General features: G+C 32.8%; 1 protein-coding gene across 5 annotated transcripts in view; it reads right to left on the bottom strand.

The window, feature by feature from the left end:
* Positions 5,502-10,495, bottom strand: part of SCN2A (sodium voltage-gated channel alpha subunit 2) — a 152,891-nt gene continuing 147,897 nt past the window's right edge. For all 5 annotated transcript variants that reach the window (NM_001040143.2, NM_001371246.1, NM_001040142.2 and 2 more), the window contains one exon: positions 5,502-9,177. In NM_001040143.2, the coding sequence (NP_001035233.1) occupies positions 7,982-9,177 (1,196 nt within the window). In that variant the 3' untranslated portion in view covers positions 5,502-7,981. The remainder of the gene's footprint in view (positions 9,178-10,495) is intronic.

Below are 10,495 nucleotides of genomic sequence, written 5' to 3'. Positions count from 1 at the left end.
GTAGCAATTTAAATTTTAGGCACCTAATAAATATCAAATAACTACATAAAAATTAAAATATATAGCAAAAGTTAACAGAACTAAAATAAATAAATTTATAATCATATTGGAAAATTTTTGCACACCCCTTCTGGTAAAGGATAGTAAAAACAGCCAAAAGAAATGAAGATTTCTTTCAAATTCATGAATAAAATATATAGAATTTTGTACTTAACAACTGAAATGTACTTTATTTTCAACTACATATGAAATACATGACACATTTGATAGATGCTGAGCTACAAAGCATTTTCCCCCAAAAGTTAAATAATTAAGATTATACAAAGTATATTATCGATATTATCTGAATGTAGGAAATTAAATTAGAAATCTAAATAAATATATCTAGAAACTTTTTCAAGTATTTGGAAATTAAGCAGTTCTCTTCTAAGTTTCTAGTAAGATTTTTAAAAATCAAAATAGAGGTGAGAAAATATTTTAAACTGAATGTTAACAAAATGAAATATACTAAGATTTGTGGGATGCTAGTATAGCCATGCTTAGAGGGAAATTTATAGTCTTAAGTGCATTTACTAAAAAAAGAACAAAGGTTGAAATCAATGAATGAAATAGAGATTTTCAGAATTTAGAAAACAATAGTAAATTAAAACTAAAGAAATAAAAGAAAGAAAATTATAAATATAAAAGCAAATAAAAATAGGAAAGAACATACAGTACAGAATATTTTAAAAGGCAAAAGTTGGTTCCTTAAAAGACTAAATAAGTAAAGAAGAGAAATCACAAAATACCAATAACAGGAATCAAGATGGGTCACCACTAAAGATCCTATAGAGTTTTAAAAAACAATATCATCATAAACAATTTTACGTAAATAAACTTGAAATTTTATCAAATTACAGAGAGTGAAACAAGAAGAAACAGCAAATATGAATGGTCCTCTATCAGAGAAAATAAATACATAATTAAAAACCTGTACATAAAAACAATTCATGCTCAGATTTTACTAATTAATTATCCAAAGAATTAAGAAAAATATTAACACCAGTCTTAGTTATTCTCTACCAGAGAACAAGAACAAGAAAAGTCCTTTGCCTACTTGTTTTAAGAGGTTAGCATAATCTTGATTTCAAAACCTAACAAGCACATTAAAGTAAACAGATTACAAGCCAAACTCTTTCAGAAATATAGATGCAGGAATATAAAACAAAACATTAGAAAATCGAAGCAATATATGAAATTGATAATTCAAATGACCAAATTTGATTAAGTTCTAGGAGCATAGTTAGGATTAATATCCTAAAATCAATCACTGTGTACCACAATATCAAAATACAAAAGAAAAATAATATATGATTTTCTAAATAAGATGCAGAAAAACTTAATAAAATTTTGCATTTATTAATGACATCTAGAAACTTTTAGAAAATTAAGAACTGAAAGAGTCTCTTTAAGATGATACTGGATATCTATTTTTAAAAAATCTATACCAACTGGCATTTTTAATAGTTAGTTATTAAAACCTCCCTTACTCATATTAGAAACAAAACAAAGCTTACCACTATCACCTCACCTCCTCAATGTTACAACTAATGTTCAGCCAGTGCAGGGAGGAAAAGCAAATGAAAATTATAGTAGCAGGGATGGAAAGAGCAGAAATAATTAAAATAGAAAGCAGAAGAACTATAGAGAAAATCAACAAACCAAAAGTTGAATTTTAAAAATATATTCATAAAATTGAAGGACTCCTATATGGGCTAATCAAGGAAAAGAGATAATTAACAAATTGTCAGAATCAGAAATTAAAGGAAAAATGATTAGAGATGTCACAGATATTAAAAGCACAATAAGGGAATAATATGAACAATTTATACAGTAAATTCAAATAACAATAACTTAGACAAATGAATTCTCAGAAAAATGCAATTTGTCAAATCTAAAAAAAAATCGTAGTCATCCTACATACCTGTTTAAGAAATTGATATTTTTAATTAAAAACTTTCCCACAGAGAAGACTCAGGTTTCCGATGGCTTTGCTGGTGAATTCTATCAATATTTAAGGGAGAAATAATCTCTCTTACTCTCTTTCAAGAATAAATGCCTCCCAACTTGTTTTATGAAGCCAGTATTATTTTTATACCAAAACCTGACAAATTATCCAGAGAGACCACTAAAAAATAAAAAAGAAATGTTAAGGGATGTGGAGAAATGATTTAGACATTTAACATATATTCTTAAGGAGTTCCAGACAGAGAGAATAAAAAAATATGGAATGATAACCTATTTGCAGTGTTAAAAGCTGATAATTTCCTTGGAATTCTCTGAATTAAAGATATTAATATGTGAATCCTCAACTTATATTAGCATAAATTCTGAGCCAGATTAATAAAAATAATTTCATAGGCTCATAGAAATAAAAAACAAATTATAAATATTTATATACATATTTTAATATAAATATTATAATTTTACATAAATATTTATATATAATTTTACTTATATTATTTTTATATAAATATATATTATATAAGTATATAATATATATTTATTTAATATAAATATATTATTTATATATAAATATTTATATTATATATAATTATATATATTATATTAATATAAGTAGATATATACAAAAAATAATTCTAATTAAAAATGTGGCCAAAATTAAACCATTTTCAGAAAAAGAAAAACGGGGTCATTTTGCTGCTAGCAGATCTGACAGAATTCCTGAAGGATACATTTCAAGAAAGAAATAGAACACAAAATGAAAAAGTTGGCTGAAGAAACAAATTTGAGGGAAAAAATTACCAATAATTAGTATGTAAGTCTAAATAAGTACTGCCTACAAATTCATGTAATAATACTGTTTAATTTGTTTTATCTCAAATTAAGGTAGAGTTAAGATACTACACAAAAATAACATATTAGAGGAGAGCAATGATATGTCATCAGTCTAGGAAAATTCATTTTTCCAGATCAGGACACAAATATTGATTACAGTTCACCTTAATTAAGTATGCATGTTAAAATTTAAGAGTAATCACTTATAAAAGAGAAAGAAAAAAGAAGAAAGGAAGGAAAGGAGGGAGGGAGGGATGAATGGAGGGAGATGATGTGTAACTTTCCATCAGAGATGGGGGAAAGAGAAACAGAAAACACAAAGCAAAAGAGGACAAGAAGGAAGAGGAGAATAAAAGGAAAAACCTCAAAAAGTGGAAAGTGTGAAGTAAAGTGATAGGAATAAAATTAGATGTATCTGTAAATATAAAAAATGTAACTTGATTAAAATAGGCTATTAGCAGGAAGTGTCACATTGGATGACTTAAAAATCTAGTTATATTCTTTTACTTAATAAATCTATATACTATACCAAGAGATAAGAACCCATTTAAATAATTGGGAAAATGAGATTGCTGTAAAATACTAGAAAAAATGGGCAGCATAGCCTTATTACTACCAGATTCAGCAGCTACAGATGTGTCATATTTCACTGTTCCTTCTACTTCTCAGGAGTAATCACTCCTTTTTGCCACAGAATCAATTCCAAACTCTAGCATGGCTTTCCAGGTTCTTCACCTCTGGTTATAGCCTTTCTTTGGATAGTTATATTCCTCTTTGATCTCTTAGCTGCTATTGCAAAGTTGATATATAGTAGACACTCAAATATGTATTTAGTTCAGGTAAAAGAAAAAAAAATATTCCTGAATCCATGGAATCATTGTAACATTTTCTTGTATAATGTCCTCTTCACTTTTTTCACAGGTATCTTTTCTTTAAAAAAATGAGAGGGGCAGGTGCAATGGCTCATGCCTGTAATTCTAGCACTTTGGAAAGCTGAGGCAGGATGATTGCTTCAGTCCAGAAATCTGAGACCAACCCAGGCAACATGGGGAGACCCTGTCTCTACAAAAAATACAAAAAAAAAAAAAAAAATGAGCTGGGTGTGGGAGCACATGCCTGTAGTCCCAGATACTCGGGAGGCTGAGGTGGGAAGATCACTTGAGTCCAGAAGGTTAAGGCTGCAGTGAGCCATGATCACACCACTGCTCTTCAGCCTGGGTGACAGAGCAAGACCTTATCTCAAAAATAAATAAATAAATAAATACAAATAAAAATAAATAAGAGAAGAAACATGTTTATATTTTAGATCTAACATATTGACAACTAAGCAACATTTCTTCCTCCTTCCCTCACCATTGCTGGAGGTATCCACACCAGACATTTTTTCAGAATTATAATTCATGAAACATCCCATTTCTTACACTCCCCTCCTTTCTCCTACTTTCCCCTATCGTTCCCTCTCCTCCTTTCTCCTCTTTCTTTACTTCCCCTTACCTCTCTTGTCTCCTCCCTTCTGTTTGTAAATAGGTCTGTATGTTACAGAGCTCAGAAAAACAAGGGATTGTGTGAGATGCGCCAAGAATGGAGAAGATGAGAATGAGAATCTTTCCTGTCTAGATTTGTGAGTTGGTAATGACAAATTGAATGGCTTTCTGACTGGCCACCATGAACTGCCTTCTATTGGTCCAGATTAAAGGTTCTCATGCAACAGGGCATGTAGCATTCACTGGAGGGAACTATTTTATAAATTTATACTGTTTCCTAGACCATCCCACATTCATTCCACCCAGTATACACTAGGGATAGTTAAGGTGCCATATGGGGTGTGTGTGTGTGCATGTGTTACCTGAACACAGTCTCCCTAAACTTTTCTAATAGAATTCCCTTTATACCAACTACAGCCCTAAAGAAGAACCTCTATTATAATTAGATCAATGTCAATCCCTCAATCTGCAATATAAATACTCCGAAAGCCATCCTCTTAGGAACTTTATTCTGTACATGATAAGTTATGTAATGAAGGACAGTTTGGACTTTCCGGAGAATATGTTTTCCTATTGGGCAAAGGAGACCCAAATTTGCTAGTTCTCAGTCCTTGGTATGAATCAGTATCAATGACGAGCCTTCAAAAAATTAAATGCTTAAGTCTCACCCAGAGATATGAGTTCAATTGGTCTGGTCCTGGTCTTGGCCCATGCACTGGCTTTTTTTTTTTTTTTTTTTTTGCTTCTCAGGTAGTTCTAATATGCATTCAGAATTGAGAAACATTTCCCAAACTGTTCATAATTAAATGAGAAAGTCAAATCTGTGCTATTTTGGAATTTTGTTTATATATTATGAAAAGTTGCAGTCTAAGCTTTCTTAGAATTTTTGTAAAGAAAATTGTAAAAATAAATACGCAGATACTATGTGCACTTTACAGAGTGACAGCAAATTTTAGGGATCTAAATCTAAGTGATCTATAGGCTGTAATAAACAAGACATTTGGTGAACAGAAAAGAAACAAGGAGAATATCCTAAATGAAAAATACTGAGAGCGCAAGGAAAGGATAGAAGGATATAAAGAAAAGTAGATCAAGAATACATAAGGAAGAAATTGAAATGGAAAAGTGAAAAAAAGAACAATAGGTGGACAGGAAGGAGAAAAGATGCACAACTTAAAATGTTAGTCAATTTTTTATTAATTTTTGTAACTTTCCACTAGTCTACCTGATGCCATATCTAGCTTTTTGGCCAATATTAAAGTAGTTATCCAATACACTCTTCTTAATTAACTTCCATTCCATGAAAAAATTGAAAGATGAATTATAGTAATTAATGTGTGTTCTTTACATTTGTTTTTCAGATAGATTATTTTTACATGATAGAAATCTACCTTTAAATGGCATTTCAAAGATAGAAACAAAGACAACAATTAAATACAAAAACAAAAGCGAAACCTTTATTCTTTTGGCTTGATTGTAATGTGGTTTACCGTTCTTTATGGTAACAGCATTTTCCTGCATGCATTTCACCAACACACTACAAGTCAATAGCTTCAGTATAAAGAATCTACATTTATTGTTGCTTGTGAAACACAAAGTATTTTGCTGTAACTGGTAATATAACTTCACTACCTGGTTTTGTGGGAGAGGAAAAAAAGCTGGGATCCCATATTATATCTGATACAGTTCTAGTGCCATATGGGTCAATAAGATCTATCTGTGTAAACAAACATTGGAAAAGACTGATGATTACTGAATAAAAAGACTAGGTGGAAACATTGGATTCAAGCAATGCCAAGAGTATCAGCTGATTTTTTTTTTCTTTAAGCCTCTTTCAATGATAAGGCATTACTATTGAAAGCAAATAAACATTGAACTCAGTTTGAGATTTGTTTCACATTGAAATGTGTGCAAGTTTACAGTACTAATAAAAAAGCAGAAACCTACACTGCATCCTAGTCCTTGCTTCTTATTTTGTGAAGTGCTTCAATTTAAAAGTGCTAGGAACAGAAACTAACAATAGTGACTGTGACATCCACCTGAAGATACTTTTAATTTCTCATTTTACGTACAAAAGGCTGAAAAATAAAATAAAATGAACTTTTTACAGTATTTATATTTTCTTAGAAAACTCTAACCATATATTTTAAACAGATTTAAGCAGCTTGCAACATGTTTGTACAGTCGGGCTTTTCATCATTGAGTGTTCAATTAAGGTTGGAAGAATAAAAAGCAAGAAGCTCTTCCTTGTTTGCTGCAACCTATTGCTTAATGACATGAAGAATGAGGTCTTGGTAGAACAATTTGCTTCACTTTACCACTGATATATGGCTTCCCATATTAGACTTCTGAACAGTGGAAGGAATAAGATACAGCAGCATAGGCAAGATAAACATGCAGCAGTGACAGCTTCAAACTATAATGGAACCAATTACATCATATTACCTGTTGAAAGCTTGCAAACTATACTTACTGTGGTACATATTTGATGCAATAAGTAGTGTGCTTAAATCATCATTTTTGTTTGCTCAAACATGCACCACTGGGTAAAATTACTATTTACAAAGCAGACTTTTATTTTTTAAATTGACATATACTATGTCAACCTTACCAAGAGCAGAAGATGGCTAAACAATACTGCAGGATAAAGCAGAATCAACTTTATAAAGTGGTGGTGGGGATGTTTTTTGGTCAATTCAGGCTTCTTAGAAAGGACTGATAGGATATTTTTATTTTATGCCAAAGGACACTTATCAAAAATGTGATAGTCATGCTGCTGGGACTGTGAATGACAATGTAATGGTATGTGTATATCTCTGTGTGTGCATGTGTGTATACATATATATGTATATACACGCACATATACATATATACATATATACATGTACATTTAATGGGTTATGTAAAAATAAAACAACTCTTTAATGCTTGTGATTCTATGGAACATTTACAGGCACATTAAATTTTTTCTGGATGAGACACCTTAAAAATACGAATAGCTATTTAAGCACCTCAAAAATCTAAAAACATCCTGAAACAAGAAGTAAACTCTTCCCTTTTGTGATGTGATTTTTTTATGTGTGAATGAGAATTGCAGCATGCCTCCATTTAAAATATATCCAGTTATACAATACAATAGAGAAATGTAGAATTCCCTCCCTTTAATCCCTCTCCCCAAACACAAACCCATTTACAAAAATAGTCACATATAATAGTAAACAACCTGTGAATTAAAAAGAAAAGTGATAAATTCACAGCACACGTTTTGTAAAAATATGGCAGGTGTGGCAGTTAAAACATAAACACTGGTGACAATTACTATTATCAAGTGTCACATGTTGAATTTACATAAAAATTTAACTTCCCTCCCCCCTTTAAATTGGTTCCTATCGTCTGAGTAGCCATTACGCCTCTGCTCTTCAGCAGTGTCAGCTGGTTGTGAAAATAGAAACCTCCCATCGATACTATTTCTCCAGTTTACTGAGTTCCAGTTTGCTGACCAGAGGTCTCTGTCTTGTTATAGGCACTGACCTTAAGTATACATTTGTAAAAACAGTCAGTTTGGCATAGACCTCCTGTGGGAGTCCTGTTGACACAAACACATCACCATCACGGGCTGTAAACAATTGATCACAAAATGGAAAATTCTTGGTTTCTTTTTACTTTTTACTTTCCCTGATATCTTTCCCTTTGTCTTCCTTTTCTGATTTGTCTTTTTCAAATTTTTCTTTTTCTGGTTTGGTCACACTATCATACGAGGGTGGAGACGTGGTGGAAGGCGTCATATCGGTTTTCTCTGGAGTTGAATTCTCATTCAGTTTATCAATGAGAGTATCTTCTTTGATGGGTGTTCCATCACATTCTTTGCCTTTGTCTTTCTTGTATATACTTGATACCTTTTTAACTTTTTGCTTCAAGAGGTAGCGTCTGTAAGCCCTCTGGATAATAATAGCAGACACCTCCTCTTGTTTGCGTTTCAACGTGGTCGTAATGGGCTCATAAGAGACTTTGGAGGGGTTTGATGCCATGAATCGCTCTTCCATCTGTATTCGAAGGGCATCCATCTCTCCACTCTCACCCAAAACACGCTTTGTAAAAGCAAATAAGATGTCAAGACAGTGGATCCGGTCACCACTCACCATGGGCAGATCCATGGCAATGAGCTGGACTTTGTTGGGTTTTGCTATGAGAAGAGGAGGATCCAGGGCATCTGCAAAATCAGAAAGTTTGGCAAACTCTATAAACTGGGTCGCATCGGGATCAAACTTCTCCCAAACCTCATAGAACATCTCAAAGTCATCCTCACTCAGAGGCTCTGCACTTTCTTCAGTAGCAACACTGAAGTTCTCCAGGATGACCGCGATGTACATGTTCACCACAACCAGGAAGGATATGATGATGTAACTGACAAAAAAGAAAATCCCAACAGATGGGTTCCCACAGTCTCCTTTAACTGAGCTTCCAGGGTGATCTTTGTCAGGGTCACAGTCTGGAGGTCCACTATTAAGAATAGGTGCTAGCAATCCATCCCAGCCAGCAGAGGTTGTAATTTGGAACAGGCAGATCATGCTGTTGCCAAAGGTCTCAAAGTTGAACATGTCATCGATCCCAACTTCCCTCTTAACATAGGCAAAATTGGACATCCCAAAGATGGCGTAGATGAACATGACCAGGAAAAGAAGGAGGCCGATGTTAAACAACGCAGGAAGGGACATCATCAAAGCAAAGAGCAGCGTGCGGATCCCCTTTGCTCCTTTGATCAGACGTAGGATTCGGCCAATCCTGGCAAGACGGATCACTCGGAACAGGGTAGGGGACACAAAATACTTTTCTATCAGTTCAGCCAGAAACATTCCTGTAGAAAATCAACAAATAACAAAAATATTGTTATACTTAATAGTAGCAAATGAAAGTTTACATAAGTACATTAGTTTTACAAAATGTGAACAGGACAGTTAGGTACATGTATATATGCAAATAATCTGCAATGTTTGTTGAGCAAAATGAAACTGGTATGTTTGGTGTTATAACATTTACATCTTTATATTAAATGAAGATAATAAGGGCCATTTTTCCTAGTTCAAGGAAAGCATCTATCAAAAAAATGACTCAACCCTGGAAGGTCCAAAGACATCATGAAGCATACAGTGGCCAAGTACAGAAATTAATTTATATGTCCAAAATACTAGTTCTAGTATTTGCATAAGAACTAAAGGTGTATGATTTTGGGTCAGGAATATGAGAGTTCTTTACTTTCTGAGATTCTATGTTATTTGGGAGTAGGCAGCGTGATGTACAGAAGAAAACATAGGCTTTGGAGACAGATGTACTTGGGACTGAATCCTGGCACTTGCTTTTATGCATGAGTAAATGGTGATAATATCAACTTTTTCTTGTGGTCAAACTGAACATTTACTAAGTCTTTTCTTCATGCTAGGCACAGTGCTAAGTGCATATATATACATAATCTGATTTAATCCTCACAATAACATTTTACAGAAAAATTCCTTGCAAAACCAGAGATTGGAGAGCTGAGGTAACTTCTCTTAGGTCACTGAGAAGGTAAGTAGTGTAAATAGGGAAGCTCCAGGTCAGATCTCAAATCTTACCTCTTAATGCTACCTCATAGCACTTATGTGAGAATCAAATGCAGTGGAACATTGTTACAATGTTCTATTCGACTAAAGAAAGTAGTTTAAAGAGTGCTATATAATTTTCCCCTCCATGTGAATGTTCTGTTTCCCCAAATAGGTAGAACCTTCTCTTAAATCTTCTTATATTTACTTCCAGTACCTCATTTAATATCTTATACATAAACACTGTATATATATATTTTTTCCAATAAATCTTTTGCATTCCTAGGACTTAATGTATGTATGTATCCTAACATTAATGTATCATTGATGATAACAAATCTGTTTTGGATTTTCAAACAAACTATCTGCTTCCAAAAAGAGATATTGCAAACCACAGAAAACTGTCTGCACCCAAAGATAACATGAAACTTATATATGTGTTATTATATATATAACTGCACATATACACTATTCCAATTATTTAAGAGGTCATATTTATGAATTATGTGACTACTTCAAATGATTTATGTATATATGTGTGTGGATTGATTGTTTATTCAAAGCAGTAACTGTCAATACCACAGGAGTATGACCAGG

This window comes from Homo sapiens, chromosome 2 (genome assembly GCF_000001405.40).
Source record: "Homo sapiens chromosome 2, GRCh38.p14 Primary Assembly".
Lineage (NCBI taxonomy): Eukaryota > Metazoa > Chordata > Mammalia > Primates > Hominidae > Homo > Homo sapiens.
Note: the sequence above shows the minus strand (reverse complement) of the source record. Positions and strands in the feature narration are given on the sequence as shown.